Raw genomic sequence first — 20,037 nt, 5'->3', positions numbered from 1 at the left:
TGCTTGGCAAAGATGATGTCTATTCATCATTAAATCCCTAGTATGTAACACACAGAGGTTTAGTAAATGTTGAAAAAAATCCTAGGGAGTCCGTGTTAATCTAGAAAACATCTTCAAGCTTCAGAACAAACTTGGAATTCATAATACTGATACTGTCATGGATTGATAGAAACAAGTGCTTCTTGAAGGCAGGGTTCCAAAACACCATGAGAAATTGTGCCCTCACTTAATGGTACATTTTCTGGTGGTACAAATTAACAATAAAAGTTATAATTTATTTTTAATGTATTTGTAGTGTGAACTGAATGTTACTGAGGATGCTTTGAAAGCTATAGCCAGATTGGCACTAGAACGAAAAACAGGTGCACGAGGCCTTCGGTCCATAATGGTGAGTTGGCATTATTCTATAAAAACAATTATTTCTTGGTCTGAGTTTTGAGTATATTAAGCTTCCCTGTTTTTCTTTTGGAAAATATGTATATATATTTTGAGACAGAGTCTCAAATAAAGGAGTGCAGTGGTGCGATCTTGGCTCACTGCAATCTCCACCTCCCAGGCTGAGGCTCAAGCAGTCTTCCCACCTTAGCCTCCCAAGTAGCTGGAACTATAGGCAAGAACCACCACACCTGGCTAATTTTTGTATTTTTAGTGGAGATGGGGTTTCACCATGTTGGCCAGTCTGGTCTCAAACTCCTAACCTCAGGTGATCTGCCTGCCTCAGCCTCCCAAAGTGCTGGGATTACAGGCGTGAGCCACCACGCCTGGCCTGAATTTTTTTTTTTTTTTAGTCACAGTAGATTATATTTTGCTTTTTCTCAAAAAGGAACTTCAAGGTGTTTGCAACAAAGGACATAGACATAATATGATTAATGACACAGAAAATCGGGATCGGGCCTGGTAACTCACACCTATAAATCCCAACACTTTGGAAGGCCAAGGCAGGAGGATTGCTTGAGCCCAGGAGTTTGAGACCAGCCTGGGCAACATACACCCTCATCTCTCAAAACAAACAAACAAACAAACAAACAAAAAAAAAGAGGCTGGGCATGGTGGCTCATGCCCATAATCCTAGCACTTTGGGAGGCTGAGGCAGGCGGATTGCCTGAGCTCAGGAGTTCAAGACCAGCCTGGACAACATGGCGAAACCCCATCTCTACTAAAAATACAAAAAATTGGCCAGATTTGGTGGCTTACGCCTGTAATCACAGCTATAATCCCAAATATATATATATATATGTTTATATATATAATCCCATATATATGTTTATATATATATATATATTTGTTTTGTTTGTTTCTTTTTCCTTGAGTGAATGGATTCCAATTTGTGATTTATAGAATAAAAGCACTTGTATGTAATCTGTTTTCAATGTGATTCATTACTTTTTATTTCTTTAGGAAAAGCTGTTACTAGAACCAATGTTTGAAGTCCCTAATTCTGATATCGTATGTGTGGAGGTTGACAAAGAAGTAGTAGAAGGAAAAAAGGAACCAGGATACATCCGGTAAAGTGTATTTTCAAGCCAGAACAGATACAAAATTTAAGATGAGCTCCTCATTGCTATGTTTATTGGTTTGTCATTTTAAAATTACATAAAAATTATTATATTTCTAAGGGAAGCAATAATCTCAAGTTTTCTGTAGAAAAATCTAATTTGGGTATTATAAAATAATAGTATTTTGTGAGTCTTTGAAAGTTGATCATCAGGCCGGGTGTGGTGGCTCACACCTGTAATCCCAGCACTTCAGGAGGCCGAGGTGGGCGGATCACGAGGTCAAGAGATAGAGACCATCCTGGCCAACATGGTGAAACTCTGTCTCTACTAAAAATACAAAAATTAGCTGGGCGTGGTGGTGTGCGTCTGTAGTCCCAGCTACTCGGGAGGCTGAGGCAGGAGAATCACTTGAACCTAGGAGGCGGAGGTTGCAATGAGCCAAGATCGCACCACTGCACTCCAGCCTGGGCGACAAAGTGAGACTCAGTCTCAAAAAATATATAAAAAAAGGCAATGGGGCTGGATTTGGCTAGCAAGCTACAGTTTCCTAACCCCTGATTTATTCAATAAATGTTTACTATGCAATGCTTGACATTAATGTTACCTACACAAAAGCTAGGTTTCTGTTTAACTCAAATCATAAGGTATGTTATGTTTTATGTTTGCTTGTGTTCCAAGATAACTTTAGAGGCAGTTGATGTGTTTTGAACAACCTTAGTTATCCAGAGAGATATAATCTTTTATTTTTATTGTTTAATGACATTGACGTATGGCTTTTAAAGGAATTGTGGTGACCTGAATTATCATTTTTACTAGTTCGAGACAAGACGGATGTGATCAGAAATAGCTTCTTTACCATATACATATGCTAAGTTCCAGCATTTGAGTTGAAATAACAGATGATACTTTCTTGGAGAAGAGGATTTTTTAAGCCTTCACAATTGAAGCCATATTGTCCTTTTTTTTTTTTTTTTTTTTTTTTCTCCCAGTAATAAATTTGTCAGGGAAAATGCTGGGAAGTTTATTTGCAACTCTTGGTTGTATAGTCTGTTTCCCATATTACTAAGCAATCTTTTTTTTTTTTTTTTTTTTTTGAGACTCAGTCTTGCTCTGTCGCCCAGACTGGAGTGCAGTGGTATGATTTCGGCTTACTGCAACCTCCACTTCCTGGGTTCAAGCGATTCCCTTGCCTCAGCCTCCTGAGTAGCTGGGACTACAGGTGTGTGCCACCACACCCGGCTAATTTTTGTATTTTTAGTAGAGATGGGGTTTCAACATGTTGGCCAGGCAGGTCTCGAACTCCTGACCTCAAGTGATCAGCCCTCCTCGGCCTTCCAAAATGCTGGGATTACAGATGTGAGCCACTGTGTCCGGCCTAAGCCGTCTTAATATTAAAAGTGCTCCTAATATTTTCTATTATCGTGGCTTTCTTAGCTAGGAGAGGTTACTTTGCTGTTTTGATTTTAAAGATCATGTTTACCTCCATTTTTTATTTTAAAAAAACAAACATGGCTTTTCATTGTAGGGCTCCAACAAAAGAATCCTCTGAAGAGGAGTATGACTCTGGAGTTGAAGAAGAAGGATGGCCCCGCCAAGCAGATGCTGCAAACAGCTAAACTGTCATATTGCTGTCTTGTATATACAGCTTTTCCTTCTTTTGTTTAGGATCATAATTGTCTCTACAGTCTGATATTAAAGGCATTGGATCTATCTTGGATATCATACATGGTCAGAGAAGCCTTTAGGAGAAGAATCAGATCATGTATATAATTGTAACATCACATTGATTTTACGGAAGATGTTATATGGACTTTAATGACACAATGTTTAGAGATAAAATGTACATTATTTTGGTTCAGTTTTTTAAAAAAAATATGCTTTAACAAAATTCTTAGGAATTCTTTTAAGCAATGCAGGTATTGCGATAACTGTAGATTTTACAATAATGTTACTCTACAAATGGGAAAATAAATTCTTTAAAATTGAATATTGAGATACCATTCTTTAGTGTTACCTTTTTTACCCACATGTGTTTCTGAAAATATTGGAATTTTATTCATCTTAAAAATTGGACCAGGTAGGCCGGGCGTGGTGGCTCACGCCTGTAATCCCAGCACTTTGGGAGGCCAAGGCGGGTGGATCACGAGGTCAGGAGTTCAAGACCAGCCTGGCCAAGATGGTGAAACCCCATCTCTACTAAAAATATGAAAAATTAGCTGGGTGCCGTGGCAGGTGCCTGTAATCCCAGCTACTCGGGAGGCTGAGGCAGGAGAATCGCTTGAACTCGGAGGGCAGAGTTTACAGTGAGCTGAGGTTGTGCCACTGCACTCCAGCCTGGGCGACAAAGTGAGACTCCGTCTCAGGGCGAAAACAAAAAATTGGACCAGGTAGTTTTCAAGTAGTTAAACATTTCATTGAAAAATACCCTGAAGAACTATATTTTGATAATTGGTTTAGCTGTATTCCTAGTCTTATCTGCTAATGCATGACACTAACTTCCCAATTGGTTCTGTAAAAAAGGCCATTTTCTTACCAAGTTGTCTGATTTATTTACCATCTTTTTTTTTTTTTTTTTTTTAATTGAGCGGAGTCTCACGCTGTCCCAAGCTGAAGTGCAGTGGTGCGATCTTGGCTCACTGCAACCTCCGCCTCCCAGGTTCAAGCAATTTTCCTGCCTCAGCCTTCCAAGTAGCTGGGATTATAGGCACGCACCACCACACCTGGCTAATTTTTGTATTTTTAGTAGAGACAGGGTTTCACCCTGTTGGCCAGGCTAGTCTGTAACTCCTGACCTTGTGATCTGCTGGCCTCAGCCTCCCAAAGTGCTGGGATTGCAGGCGTAAGCCACCACACCCGGCCTTATTTACCATCTTTAATCCATTTTAGTACTATGGGTGAGTACATGGAATTGAAGTCTGGCTTAAATCTTCAGAAAGTTATATATCTATTTTATTTTATTTTTTTGAGACAGAGTCTCGCTGTGTCACCCAGGCTGGAGTACAGTGCCACAATCTTGGCTCACTGCAACCTCTGAGTCCCAGGTTCAAGCGATACTCATGCCTCAGCCTCCTGAGTAGCTGGGACTACAGGCGTGCACCACCACACCTGGCTAATTTTTTGTATTTTTAGTAGAGACGGGGTTTCGCCATGTTGCCCAGGCTGGTCTCTCCTGAGCTCAGGCAATCGGCCACCTTGGCCTCTGAAAGTGCTAGAATTACGGGCATGAGCCACCGCATCCAGCCAGAAAGATACATATCTAATTCTAGAAATAGCATGCAGTATCAGTCATAGTAACAGCCATGTGCTGACCTAAATAAAATTTCTTGATATTGTGTATTTAACCTGAAGTATTGAGCTAGTTTTTTTGTTTTGTTTTTTGGTGCTGAACATTTTGGTCTAATTCTTTGGCTTCTTAGAACATTTTAAAAAATCTATGTTTTGCTATCAGCCAAAGTAAATGTGTTCACACTAACATATAAGTTACTAACCTTCATTATACAGCAAAGCTAAAAAGTGGTGGGATATTTGGGGTCTTAATGAAAATTGTATCATTTAATTCCATAAATATTAAAATATTTGGGTACCTTTTAAGCTTTTTTTCTTTCCTTCTATAATGGTGGTACAAGTTCTATATTCATTCAGTTTAATCTCATTTGAAATTGTTTAAATCAGAGTACATGTAAATATTTGTGGGTTTTTTTTTTTGGTTTATAGACTCGAGCTTTCCTTTTACACAGTTTTTTTTAGGGAAAAACTAAAGCTATTAGGAAATTCTAAATCTTGTTGATGAAGAGTTGGGCTTTCTTTGATATAATTAATAAAAGGGATGTATGGTATTTATGGCTGGGTAGGACCAGAAATGCACTTTGTATTACAGAGTGTTAAGGCTGGTTGCTATAGTATGGAACAGAAACACCTCTCCTTGGTCTCCCTAGTAATGGTTCAAGTTCTTCCCAGGAAGTCTTACATATTATAACTTTGTTCATTATCTTTCCCTTATAGCATCATTTTCCTTTTTGTAGAGTGGAAATCAGACTAGCTGCTAAACATATTAAGGTTAATCCTCCAGAAATGTACTGGGGAGGCATTTTAGTCACAACAACTTACATTTGGCTTTGGAAGTTGTTAACAAAGCATAGTCGATGTTTTTAAATCAAACATAATTTGTATCTTGGAACTTACATTTTGACATTTGAATAAAACAAAAAGACTAAATGAAAGCCAACGTGGTGGTGTGTCCATACAGCAATGGTGCAGGAGCACTCTGCATTGACAACAACAAGCACAGCCAAACAGTGCCATTTTTAAAAGGGCACAGATGTCATATGAGCTGCTTCATTCTAGGGATTGATTAATCCTTGGCACTTCCATATCAGATAAATTCTAGCTGTAGATTCCACAGACAATGTCTGTTAAACATTTATCAAAAATCCTTACTTAAATGTCCCGCTTGACACTAGGGACACAGGCCAAGTTTTTCAGGAATCTTACTAGTCTTGTAGGGGAAACAAATACAAACTAAAGTGTATTTTAATAGTGGAAGTGAGATAGGTACCAGGTGTGGTGACATAGAAAGTGATGGCCTAGATAAGTCTGGAAGAACAAGTAGAAATTTGCCAGAAAAGAATAATGAGAACTAAATCAAAATCTCAGAAGTGTAAAACAACAACTAGGAAGCTGTAGGAGGTAAGAAATAAGCAACAACTGTAACTTCTTGTTAATACTCTGAAATGACCATTTAATATTCTCCTCTCCATCTAGCTAAGGATCTTGCTTCACATTTCATTGAAAAACCATTGATGGAATTCATCATCCCACCATCTATAAATCTATCTACTCCATCACTCAACCTTTCTCTCTAGTTACAACTGAAGTATCCCTCCTACAAAACTCAGTCACTCCCCACATGCTCTGGGTCTCATCATCCCCTCTCATTTCTCAAGGCCTTTAATTCTTTTGATCATGTCTCTACTATAGTATCTGTGTCCTTCCTTCTGAATTATTCCCAGTGGCATCCAAACACTGCTTAGTATTTCCTGTCCTATAGCAAATCTCCCAAGCTTATTTACGTATCTTTCCAACTACACCATAAGTTCCACAAAGATGGTGACCCAGCCTGTTTTGTTAACTATAACCAGCACCTACCATAGTGCTACATACATCTGGTACCCCATACATTTTTAAAGAAATAATGGAATGGCCAGGCATGGTGGCTCATGCCTGTAATCCCAGCACTTTGGGAGGATGAGGCGGGTGGATCACCTGAGGTCAGGAGTTCGAGACCAGCCTGGCCAAACGTGATGAAACCCCATCTCTACTAAAAGTACAAAAATTAGCCGGGCATGGTGGGGGGCACCTGTAATCCTAGCTACTCAGGAGGCTGAGGACAGAGGATCACTTGAGTCTGGGAGGTGGAGGTTGCAGTGAGTTGAGATCACGCCACTGCACTCCAGCCTGGGTGACAAGAGCGAGACTCTGTTTCAAAAAAACAAAAAAGAATGGAATGTCTTGTATGCCAGGTTAAATTGTAAGTTTTTACAGAAGGTAGTGGGGGGTTATTGAAAGTTTTAGCAGGGGAGTTGAACATGATCAGATGTCCCTTTTAAATTGTTGGGGGCAGGCTCAGGAAAATGAATGGAAGGAAACGTGACTGGAGGCCTACTTAAAAACATTTCTTCAGCACTTGCCCTTCTATCTCCTAGTTCAACAATTTCCTCCACTTTTTGAGGTTAGTTCTCATCAGCATACAAACAAAACAACTTCCTTGAACCCAAATCCTCTCCACCTGTTGCCCAGCTGCTTCTCTTCTGCAGCACAACTAAAAGTTGGTCTTGCATTTTTCCAATTCCCTTCTGAGATTTGACTCTTCTTTTTAAGAGATGGGAGCGGGGAGGGTGCGGTCTCACTCGCCCAGGCTGGAGTGCAGTTGGCACTATCATGGATCACAACATCCTTGAACTCCTGGGCTCAAGCCATCCTCCCACATTGGCCTCCCAAAGTGTTGGGATTACAGGCATGAGCCACCGTACCTGGCTCCAGGCTTTGACTCATAAATGAGAAGCTGTCAGGAGGTTTTGCACAAAGAAGTGATACTTGGTTACAGTGTGAGAGAACAGACTAAGAGGACAAGGAAAAGATGATGGCTTGGGCTAAAGTAGTGGAAGTGGAAGAAGTGAATGGGTAGGTATTTTTGCAAATCTGATTAAAAGTGTTATCCTGTGTTCAGTGGGGAAACTCGTTATTATAAAAATGTCTATTATCCTTAAATTTATAAATTTAATAGTCCAATAAAATGCCAATATTTTATGTTTTATATATATATTTATATATATATTTATATATATATTTATATATATATTTATATATATATTTATATATATATTTATATATATATTTATATATATATTTATATATATATTTATATATATATTTATATATATATTTATATATATATTTATATATATATTTATATATATATTTTATATATATATTTATATATTTTTTTTTTTTTTGAGACGGAGTCTTGCTCTGTTGCCCAGGCTGGAGTGCAGTGGCGCGATCTCAGCTCACTGCAAGCTCCACCTCCCAGGTTCACGCCATTCTCCTGCCTCAGCCTCCTGAGTAGCTGGGACTACAGACGCCCGCCACCACGCCCGTATAATTTTTTTTTTTTTTTTGTATTTTTAGTAGAGACCGGGTTTCACCGTGTTAGCCAGGATGGTCTCGATCTCCTGACCTTGTGATCCACCCGCCTCGGCCTCCCAAAGTGTTGGGATTACAGGCGTGAGCCACCATGCCCGGCAAGTAATATATACTTTTTATAAATTACAAATAATAAAATTATAAATTATTTTATAAATAATATATATAAGACGCCAAAATTTTACATTGAAGTCAGGCAAGCTGATTCTCAAGTTCATATGGAAGAATGGTGAACAAGCAAAGTGAAAAAGTACACTTACATAGTGCTTAATGTAACAACTCCGAGGTGGATACTACAATCAAGTCTTCTCATAAAGAAACTGAAGCCCAGAGGGGTTAAGTAGCTTCCCCAAGCTCACACAAAGTAACAGAGCCAGGATTTAACCCCAGGTAGACCGGTTCCAGAATCCTACATGTAACAAGAAAGAGGAGGGACTGCCTCTACTACCTTTTTTTTAAATTTATTTTATTTTATTTTATTTATACCGGGATACATATGCAGAACGTGGAGGTTACATAGGTATACATGTGCCATGGTGGTTTGCTGCACCCATCATCTAGGTTTTAAGCCCTGCATGCATTAGGTATTTGTCCTAATGCTATCCCTCTCGTTGCCTCCTCTACTAGCTATATTTAAAATACAAAGCTTTATAACTAGGTGTGGTGACTCGCGCCTGTAATCCCAGCAATTTGGGAGGCCGAGGCAGGAGGACTGCTTGAGCCCAAGAGTTTGAGACCAGCCTGGGCAACATGGTGAGATCCTGTCTCTACAAAAAATTTAAAAAATTAGCTGGGCATGGTGGCATGCACCTGTAGTCCCAGCTACTTGGGAGGCTGAGGTGGGAGGACCCCTTGAGCCCAGAAGGCCACAGTGAGCTGGATCATACCACTGCACTCCAGCTTGGGCAACAGGGCTAGACCCTGTCTCAAAATGTGTGTGTGTTTTTGTTTTTGTTGTTGTTGTTGTTGTTGTTTGAGACGGAGTTTCGCTCTTGTTGCCCAGGCTGGAGTGCAATGACCCGATCTCAGCTCACTGCAACCTCCGCCTCCCGGGTTCAAGTGATTCTCCTGCCTCAGCCTTCCGAGTAGCTGGGATTACAGGCGTGGGCACACTCAGCTAATTTTTTTTAGTAGAGACGGGGTTTCTCCATGTTGGTCAGACTGGTTTCGAACTCCTGACCTCAGGTGATCCACCCGCCTCAGCCTCCCAAAGGGCTGGGATTACAGGCATGAGCCATCGCGTCCGGCCGTGTGTGTGTATTTTTAGAGCTTTAAAAATTTAAGTTTGTACCAGTGCATCAATGGACAAATAGAAAAGAATGGGCCAGGTGCAGTGGCTCATGCCTGTAACCCCAGCACTTTGGGAGGCTGAGGCAGGTGGATTGATTGAGCCCACGAGTTCCAGTTCAGCCTGGGCAATATGGCAAAACACCATCTCTATAAAAAATAAAAATTAGCCAGGTGTGGTGGCTCGCTCACACCTGTATTCCCAGCTACACGGAAAGCTGAGGTGACAGAATCACCTGAGCGCAGGGAGGTCGTGATCGTGCCACTGCACTCCAGCCTGGGTGACAGAGTGAGACCCTATATATTCTCCTGAGGCAGGAGAATTGCTTGAACCCGGGAGGTGAAGGTTGCAGTGAGCCTAGATCACAGCACTGCACTCCAGCCTGGGCGATAAGCCAAGACTCTGTCTTAAAAAAAAAATTTTTTTAAGATAAAAATTAAAGCCTTTGGCTGGGCACGGTGGCTCACGCCTGTAATCCCAGCACTTTGGGAGGCCAAGGCGGGTGGATCACAAGGTCAGGAGATCAAGACCATCCTGGCCAACATAGTGAAACCCCATCTCTACTAAAAATACAAAAAAAATTAGCCGGGCGTGGCGGCGCGGAGGCAGAAGAATGGCTGGAACCCGGGAGGCGGAGGTTGCAGTGAGCCGAGATCGCACCATTACACTCCAGCCTGGGCAACAGAGCGAGACTCCGTCTCAACAAAACACAAACAAACAAAAAGCCTTTAAATATTATGTAGAGCCAGGCGTGGCGGCTCACGCCTGTAATCCCAGCACTTTGGGAGGCCTAGGTGGGCGCATCACTTGAGGTCGGGAATTCCAGACCAGCCTGACCAACATGGAGAAACCCCGTCTCTACTAAAAATACAAAATTATCCAGGCATGGTGGCGCATGCCTGTAATCCCAGCTACTCAGGAGGCTGAGGCAGGAGAATCGCTTGAACCCAGGAGGCAGAGGCTGCGGTAAGCCAAGATTGTGCCATTGCATTCCAGCCTGGGCAACAAGAGTGAAACTCTGTCTCAAAAAAATAAATAAGTAAATAAATAAATAAATAAATATTACGTAGAATCACAGTAAGTTTCTGAGAAGTTTGATCGGTCCCTTGGGGAGTGGGGCCAGGCTCTCTGGTTCTTCTTGGTATGACCCAAGAGGTCATCCTCCTTGAAGATAAGGAAACAACTCACCTTGCCGTCTTCAGCTCCTTGTCATAGAAAGTGCTTAATAAATGACAAAAATATGAAATGGGGCATGTCCATCATCTAATTACTTTGCTCAGAGTAACAGTGCTCAGAAAAGTGAAGATCTAAGTGTGATGTTGCAGCAATTAGACATCCATAAGAAAAAAGAGCCTAACTGAAGATGGATCGTAAGCCAGGCATGGTGTCAAATGCCTGTAGTCCTGCCTGCTTCAGAGGCTGAAGCAAGAAGGTCCCTTGAGCCCAGGAATTCAAGTCCAGCCTGGGCAACATAGTGAGACCTGGCCTCTTATTTAAAAAAAAAAAAAAAAAAAAAAAAAGGATGACAGACTTCAATGTAAACCTACAAATGGCCTGGTGCGGTGGCATGTGCCTGTAATCCTAGCACATTGGGAGGCCGAGGCAGGTGGATCACTTGAGGCCAGGAGTTCGAGACCTGCCTGACCAACATGGTGAAACCCCGTCTCTACTAAAAAATACAAAAATTAGCCAGGTGTGATGGTGCACGCCTGTAATCCCAGTTACTCTACTCGGGAGGCTGAGGCCTGAGAATCTCTTGAGTCAGGGAGGCAGAGGCTGCAGTAAGCCAAGATGGCGCCTGGGCGACAGAGCCAGACCCAGTCTTAAAAAGGCCGGGCATGGTGGTTCATGCCTGTAATCCCAGCACTTTGGGAGGCCGAGGCAGGCGGATCACCTGAGGTCGGGAGCTCGAGACCAGCCTGACCAATATGATGAAACCCCATCTCTACTAAAAATACAAAAATTAGCCGGGCATGGTGGCATGTGCCTGTAATCCCAGCTACTCGGGAGGCTGAGACAGAATCGCTTGAACCCGGGAGGCAGAGGTTGCAGTGAGCAGAGATCGCTCCATTGCACTCCAGCCTGGACAACAAGAGCGAAACTGTCTCAAAACAAAAGTGGCCGGGCGCGGTGGCTCATACGTGTAATCCCAGCACTTTGGGAGGCCGAGGTGGGTGGGTCATTTGAGGTCAGGAGTTGCAGACCAGCCTGGCCAACATGGTGAAACCCCACCTCTACTAAAAATACAAAAATTAGAGGCCAGGCGTGGTGGCTCATGCCTAATCCCAGCACTTTGGGAGGCCGAGGCGGGCGGATCACCTGTGGTCAGGAGTTCGAGACCAGCCTGACCGATATGGTGAAACCCCGTCTCTACTAAAAATACAAAAATTAGCCGGGCGTGGTGGAGGGCGCCTGTAGTCCCAGCTACTCAGGAGGCTGAGACAGGAGAATTGCTTGAACCCAGGAGGCGGAGGTTGCAGTGAGCCAAGATTGTGCCACTGCACTCCAGCCTGGGAGACAGAGCAAGACTCTGTCTCAAAAAAAAAAAAAAAAAAAAAAAAAAATTAGGCAGGTGTGGTGGCAGGTGCCTGAAGTCCCAGCTACTCAGGAGGCTGAGGCAGGAGAATCGCTTGAACCTGGGAGGTGAAGGTTGCAGTGAGTCAAGATCGCACCACTGCACTCCAGCCTGGGAGACACAGCAAGACTGTCTCAAAAAAGAAAAAAAAAGTAGACCTACAAAACTTAGAAAAAAACACAGGAGAAAATCTTCAGGATCTAAGGATAAGCATCGAGTTCTTGGACTTGACACCAAAAGCACAATCCAGAAAGGGAAAACTGATAAATTGGACTTCATCAAAATTAAGAACTTTTGCTATGCCAAAAGAAAAACCCTGGCCAGGTGCAGTAGCTCATGCCTATATTCCTGGCCTTTGGGAGGGAAAGGTGGGAGAATAGCTTGAGGCCAGGAGTTTGAGATCAGCCTGGGCAAGACCCCCATCTCTACCAAAATTTTTAAAAATTAGCAGGGTATGGTGGTGTCTGCCTGCAGTCCTACCTACCCTAGAAGCTAAGGCGGGGGCCGGGCGCAGTGGCTCACACCTGTAATCCCAGCATTTTGTGAGGCCAAGGCAGGGGGATCACCTGAGGTCAGTATTTGGAGACCAGCCTGATCAACACGGTAAAACCCCATCTCTACTAAAAATACAAAATTAGCCTGGCGTGGTGGCGCATGCCTGTAATCCCAGCTACTCAGGAGGCTGAGACAGGAGAATCGCATGAACCCAGGAGGCAGAGTTTGCAGTGAGCCAAGATCACACCACTGTACTCCAACCTGGGTGACAAAGCAAGGCTCCGTCTCCAAAAATAAAATAAAATAAAATAAAATAAAATAATAAAAATTATAAAAGTAGAGGATAGATTCATGGCTAAGGAGAAGATGGGTTAAGGAAGAGAACTGAATGTGGCTATAAAAGGGCAAATGAGGAATACTGGTAGTGATGGACATGTTTTGTATCAATGTCAATATCCTGACTTTGATAATGTAATAGGACTGCCAGGTTTGTATGCCAGCTACACAGCAATAGACATCTGACATACACTGACAACTGGGTTTGTACTGGAGAGTTTAATTTTTTTCCTTTTTTAAAAATTAAAAATAATTTGCAACACACAACTTTGCTCATGTAGTGAAGAGTTTAATAATCTCAAGATGCCAAACAAGGAAGCAGGAGGAATTCTCAAGCTTGAAATCTGTTTCCTCATAGGGTTCTGGGCAAGGATTTTTAAGGGGGTTGTGGAGGGTGAGGGACTAGAAAATTTGGGGTCATCGATTGGTTGGGTAAAGTGGATGATATGGTTTTGCTCTGTCTCCATCCAAATCTCATCTTGAATTATAAGACCCCACATGTCAAGAGAGGAACCTGGTAAGAGGTGATTGGATCATGGGGGCAGTTTCCTGCATGCTGTTCTGAGAGTGAATTCTCACGAGATTTGGTGGTTTAAAAGTGTTTGGCAGTTCCCCTCCTTGCTCACCCTCTCTCCTGCCACCTTGTGAAGAAGGTGCTTGCTTCTCTTTTGCCTTCTGCCATGATTATAAGTTTCCTGAGGCCTCCCCAGTCATGCAGAACTGTGAGTCAATTAAACCTCTTTATAAGTTACCCAGTCTCCAGTAGTTCTTTATAGCAGTGTGAAAATGAACTAATAGGCCAGGGGCAGTGGTTCGTGCCTGTAATCCCAGCACTTTGGGAGGCCGAGGTGGGTGATCACCTGAGGTCAGGAGTTTGCAACCAGCCTGGCCAACATGGTGAAACCCCATCTTTACTAAAAATAGAAAAATTAGTCGCACATGGTTGGCGGGCGCATGTAATCCCAGCTACTTGGGAGGCTGAGGCAGGAGAATTGCTTGAACCTGGGAGGCAGAAGTTGCAGTGAGCCAAGACTACACCATTGCACTCCAGCCTGGGCAACGAGAGTGAAATTCCATCTCAAAAAAAAAAAAAGAAAAAAGAAAATGAACTAATACAGGGGTTAAAATCAGGATGTGGAAATTTTTCTTTCATTAGTCAGCTTTTTGCTGGGTCCTTCGGACTAGCTGGCATGGTAATTTTGTTGGTATATAGAATCTAAAGGAGATGCTCAATGGAAAAATATATCTAACAATGTCTTAGATTTTATCTATAGAACAGGAAAATAAAAAAGACTTTTGTGAGGACAAGAGCTAGTTATCCTTGGGTAGTAAGAGTAGTGACCAACTACAAGGAACTGGGACAGAAGGCAAGCCGACTTAATGATTGTTGTTGATTGTGCTATAAGCCTACTTAGATTTTATTTTGCCTCCTATTGATTTTATAAACCGTTGCAGGTGAGCAGTGACTATCTGAGGCCAGTATCAGTGTGGGCAGTAAGAAGAATTTACCAAGACAGTTGTAGGTAAAGAAAGGCAGATTTATGAAAGAAAGTATGAAAATACATTGCAAGAGTGCAAGGGGCTGGTTAGCAAGAGAGGAGCTAACTGTGAGGAGACAAAGGCTTGCTGGGGATTTTATAGAATGGTGCTTGTGCTGTGTGCTGAAGAGGGCTTTGTGCAGTACTGATTACTGCAACCAAGGTTGCAGTTAGCTAACTTGCATTTTTCTATAAGCCAAGGGTCTGGTGATAGCTGGGCACAGGAAGATTGTGAGATATGAGCGCAGGAGGGCTATGTGTCCTGAACCATGAAGAAAGGCAGACTTGTAGCTTATCTGCCTTTCCTTTTTGCTCTCCCTCAGTCCTGCCAGCCCCACTCCTTTTCCCTAAACTCCACAAAAAGTTTTTTTAGGGATGGTTTTATGACAGGAAAATATCTTGGGCCCCTAAGATCACTAAGGAAAACTCAGGCTGGAAACTGCTTAGGGCAAACCTGCCTCCATTCTATTCAAAGTCAATTATCTGCTCACTGAGATAGATGCACATCTGATTTGCCTCCTTTGGAAAGGCTAATCAGAAATTCAACAGAATGTAACCATTTGTGTATCACCTGTGACCTGGAAGCGCCCTCCCCGCTTCAAGTCTTCCTGCCTTTGCTTCAAGTTGTCCCACCTTTCCAGACTGAACCAATGTACTTACAAATACTAACTGATGTCTCATGTCTCCCTAAATGTATAAAAGCAAGCTGTGCCCTGACCGCCTTGGACACGTCATCAGGACTTCCTGAGGCTGTGTCACAGGTGCGTCCTCAACCTTTTTTTTTTTTTTCCCTCCCTGAGAGGAGTCTTGCTCTGTTGCCCAGGCTGGAGTGCAGTGGTGTGATCTTGGCTCACTACAACATCCACCTCCCGGGTTCAAGCAATTTTCCTGCCTCAGCCTCCTGAGTAGCTGGGATTGCAGGTGTATGCAACCACAGCCGGCTAATTTTTGTATTTTTTTTTTTTTTTTTTTTTTAGTAGAGATGAGGTTTCACCATGTTGGCCAGGGTGGTCTCAAACTCCTGACCTCATGATCCACCTGCTTCAGCCTCCCAAAGTGCTGGGATTACAGCCACCACACCTGGCCAGCAAAATAAACTTTCTAAATTAACTGAGACCTGTCTCAAATTTGGGGGGTTTACAGTTTCAATATTGTTACTGGAAAGGGGTCCCAATCCAGATCCCAAGAGAGGGTGATATGATTTGGCTCTGTGTCCCCACCCAAATCTCATCTTGAATTGTACTCCCGTAATTCCCATGTGTTGTGGGAGGGACCCAATGGGAAATAACTGAATCATGGGGGTGGTTCCCCCCATACTGTTCTCATGGTAGTGAATAAGTCTTATGAGATATGATAGTTTTATAAAGAGGAGTTTCCCTCCACAAGCTCTCTTTCTGCCTGCTGCCATCCATGTAAGATGTGACTTGCTCCTCCTTGCCTTCCGCCATGATTGTGAGGCCTCCTCAGCCATGTGGAACTGTAAGTCCATTAAACCACTTTCTTTTGTAAATTGCCCAGTCTTGAATATGTCTTTATCAGCAGCGTGGAAACAGACTAATACAGTAAATTGGTACCCGTAGAGTGGGGCACTGTTTAAAAGATACCCAAAAATGTAGAAGCAACTTTGAAACTGGGTAACAGGCAGAGGTTAACAGTTTAGAGGGCTCAGAAGACAGGAAAATGTGGGAAAGTTTGGAACTCCCTAGAGACTTGTTGAACGGCTTTGACCAAAATGCTGATAATGATATGGACAATGAAATCCAGGCTGAGGTGGTCTCAGATGGAGATGAGAAACTCATTAGGAACTGGTGCAAGGGGGACTCTTGTTATGTTTTAGCAAAGAGACTGGCAGCATTTTGCTTCTGCCTTAGAGATTTGTGGAACTTTGAACTTAGGAGAGATGACTTAGGGTATCTGGCAGAAGAAATTTTTAAGCAGCAAAGCATTCAATAAGTGACTTGGGTGCTGTTAAAGGCATCAAGTTTTAAAAGGGAAATAGAACATAAAAGTTCAAAAAATGTGCAGCCTGACAATGCCATAGAAAAGAAAATCCCATTTTCGGAGGAGAAATTCAAGCCAGCTGCAGAAATTTGCATAAGTAACGAGGAGTTGAATGTTAATCTCCAAGACAATAGGGAAAATGTCTCCAGGGCATGTCAGAGATCTTTGCGGCAGCCCCTCCCAACACAGGCCCAGAGGCCTAGGAGGAAAAAATGGTTTCATGACCCAGGCCCAGGGTCCCGCTGCTGTGTGCAGTCTAGGGACTTGGTGCCCTGTGTCCCAGCCACTCCAGTCGTGACTAAAAGGGGCCAAGGTACAGCTTGGGCTGTGGCTTCAGAGGGTGCAAGCCCCAAGCCTTCACAGCTTCCACATGGTGTTGAGCCTGCGGGTGCGCAAAAGTCAAGAATTGAGGTCTGGGGCCGGGTGCACTGGCTCACGCCTGTAATCCCAGCATTCCAAATGATTGTGAGGCCTCCCTAGCCATGTGGAACTGTAAATCCATTAAACCTTTTTCCTGTATAAATTACCCAGTCTCAGGTATGTCTTTATTAGCAGCATGAAAACAGACTAATACAGAGGGTCCTTGGATCTTGTGCAAGAAAGATTTCAGGGCAAGTCCACAGTGCAAAGCAAAAGCAAGTTTATTAAGAAAGTAAAGTGGTGAAAGAATATCTACTCCATAGACAGTAGGGCGTTCCTGAAAGTAAGAGGAGAAACGTGTCCACCCTAGGTAGAATGCTTGCTTATATATAGGATAAAAAAAGATCATGGGGAGATGTGCTCTGCCACAAGGGTTTGTGATAAAGGATTAATTTTTTAAATTACTATATTTTACAAGAATCAACATTATTATCTTTAAAGCAAAATTAGGAATGCTTCTATTCTCAAAATATCGGGATCTCAGGACACTCCTAAGTACGGGTCTGTTTAGTAAATGTTATTAGTCTGTTCCCTTAACCATAAACATCTAGAGGCTAGGAATACCTAACTTCCTGGGAATGCAGCCAAGCAAGTCCCAGCTTCACTTTTCCTAGCCCTCACTCAAGATGGAGTCACTCTGGTTCAAATGCCTCTGACAATACTGTACTACAGTTTTACAAGATGTTACCCTTAGGGGAAACTGGGTAAAGGGTACACAGAATCTCCCTGTATTACTACTTCTCATATTCCATATGAATCTACAATTGTCTCAAAATAGTTTAATTTTAAAAATCTAATCAGGTGGCACAGGCTTCTCTTTACCTCTTGTTTAAAACCAATAGTTTCCCACTGGTCACAGTGGCTCACGCCTGTAATCCCAGCACTTTGGGAGGCTGAGGCAGGCAGATCACCTGAGATCAGGAGTTCGAGACCAACCTCAACAGGGAGAAACCACGTCTCTATTAAAAATACAAAATTAGTCGGGCATGGTGGTGTGTGCCTGTAATCCCAGCTACTCAGGAGTCTGAGGCAGGAGAATTGCTTGAACCTGGGAGGTGGCGGTTGTGGTTAGCCGAGATCGCGCCATTGCACTCCAGCCTGGGCAACAAGAGTGAGACTTGGTCTCAAAACAACAACAACAACAACAAAATAGTTTCCCATTGTTCATAAGATATGAGACCCCAGACATTAGGACTTCACTTCACCAGGATCACCAGACTCCTCTCAGAGCTCCATCCATAACTCGCATTCTTTTTTTTTTTTGGAGACAAGGTCTCGCTCTGTCTCCCAGACTGGAGTTCAGTGGTGTGATCTCGGCTCACTGCAACCTCCACGTCCTGGGTTAAAGCAATTCTCCTGCCTCAGCCTCCCCAGTAGCTGGGATTACGGGCACGCACCACCACACCTGGCTAATTTTTGTGTTTTAGTAGAGACAGGAATTCACCATATTGCCCAGGCTGGCCTTGAACTCCTGAGCTCAGGCAATCCACCCGCCTCGGCCTCCCAAAGTGCTGGGATTACAGGCCAAAACTGGCATTCTATCAGGCTTCCCACTAGACATAGTCCTGTAACCTAAGGCAGGTCCAGTTCCCTGCAGCTTGCAAATTCAAATAACAAGTAAGAGAATGGTAAAAAGAAAGTGACTGCCACGGGCACGGTGGCTCACGCCTGTAATCCCAACATGATCCAAGGCAGGCGGATCATGAGGTCAGGAGATCGAGACCATCCTGGCTAACATGGTGAAACCCCATCTCCACTAAAAATACAAAAAAATTAGCCAGGCATGGTGGTGGGCACCTGTAATCCCAGCTACTCGGGAGGCTGAGGCAGAAGAATGGCATGAACCCAGGAGGCAGAGCTTACAATGAGCCAAGATCACGCCACTGCACTCCAGCCTGGGCGACACAGGGAGACTCTGTCTCATAAAAAAAAAAAAAGAAAGAAAGTGGCCAGGTGTGGTGGCTCACACCTGTAACCCCAGCACTTTGGGAGGCCAAGGTGGACGGATCACCTGATGTAAGGAGTTTACGACCAGCCTAGCCAGCATTGTGAAACCCCCTCTCTACTAAAAACACAAAAATTAGCCAGGCGTGGCAGCAGGGGTCTATAATCCCAGCAACTGACTAGGGAGGCTGAGGCACCAAGAATAACTGGAACCTGGGATGCAGTGGTTGCAGTGAGTGGAGAGTGCGTCATTGCACTCCAGCCTGGGTGACAGAGGGACTCTGTCTCAAAAAAAGTGGGGGGTGCACGGGACTTGGTTGACCTGGATGGCATGCAAGGGGTGGGGAGGGACCAAGGAGGTGCTGGGTCTATGGGACTTGCTCCTATGTATCCATCAGTGATCTGGTTGGCGCCATGGAGGCTGGGGCGAAGGCGGAGGGGGGGTGGGGGGTAGCGGGGAGCTAGGTTGTAAATTGACAGTTGTCCCCAGGCAATCCCCTGGTATGGGAAAGTTCCAGAGGTCCCTGGTTTAAGCTTCGGTCCTTGGAACTAATAAGCGAACACATAATTAGATAAGCTTACAGTGTAGAGAGTGTCTGGTGGAGAGAAGGTAAAGGTTAATTGGATTTTTTTTTTTGACAGGTGTCATTCTGTCGCCCAGGGTGGAGTGCAGTGGCGTTATCGTGGCTCATTGCAGTCTTTACCTCCCAGGGCTCAGGTGATCCTCCCACCTCAGCCTCCCCAATGGCTGGGACTACAGGCCGATCTCGCCTGCCTCGGCCTCCCAAAGTGCTGGGATTACAGACGTGAGCCACAGCACCCACCCTATAATTGCATTCCTAAAGAGCTAAATAGGAGGTGGGGTGAAAGGAGAAAAGTAAAAATAATTCATTTTTCTAAGAAAATGGGTAGTTGGTCACACTCCTATTTACTAGGGCCTTTGCACATGTTCTCATCTGCACTGTGCTTCCCTCTCTTTTTCTATTTAACTATTTATCTTCCAGATCTCAGCTGCAGCCGCAGTTTCTTAGGATAACCTTCTCCAACTTCTCGAAGATACTCACCATGATTAATTGATTAGTGTGTTATACTAGGCAGATAGTTCCACGAAGAGAAGCTCTGTATCTCTCAGTCTCACTGTATGCGGAGTGGGTAGCTCTGCACCTAGGATGCTCAATAAGAACGGTATTTATGAACTGAACGACAGAAGGTTGAACGACTGCCCACTTATGCACTGAGCCT

The 20,037-nt window shown here is 43.5% G+C and overlaps 1 protein-coding gene across 3 annotated transcripts in view, besides 1 other annotated feature; it reads left to right on the top strand.

Annotated features, from left to right (window-relative positions):
- Window positions 1–5,716, top strand: part of CLPX (caseinolytic mitochondrial matrix peptidase chaperone subunit X) — a 37,124-nt gene extending 31,408 nt beyond the window's left edge. For all 3 annotated transcript variants that reach the window (NR_133680.2, XM_011521164.4, NM_006660.5), the window contains 3 exons: window positions 296–388; window positions 1,399–1,505; window positions 3,022–5,716. Coding sequence is in view for 2 of the 3 variants with exons in the window: in XM_011521164.4 (XP_011519466.1) it covers window positions 296–388; window positions 1,399–1,505; window positions 3,022–3,112 (291 nt within the window). In the remaining variant the exon portion in view is untranslated. The remainder of the gene's footprint in view (window positions 1–295; window positions 389–1,398; window positions 1,506–3,021) is intronic.
- Window positions 19,842–19,941: an enhancer, noted in NCBI's record as "active region_9593". NCBI's record gives its function as "activates an Ori minimal core promoter by ATAC-STARR-seq in GM12878 lymphoblastoid cells {active_cell/tissue: GM12878}" and the evidence as "EXISTENCE:reporter gene assay evidence [ECO:0000049][PMID:35858748]".

The sequence above is a fragment of the Homo sapiens genome, chromosome 15, assembly GCF_000001405.40.
Source record: "Homo sapiens chromosome 15, GRCh38.p14 Primary Assembly".
Lineage (NCBI taxonomy): Eukaryota > Metazoa > Chordata > Mammalia > Primates > Hominidae > Homo > Homo sapiens.
The sequence above is the reverse complement of the archived record's forward strand: the minus strand, read 5'-3'. Positions and strand labels throughout refer to the sequence as shown.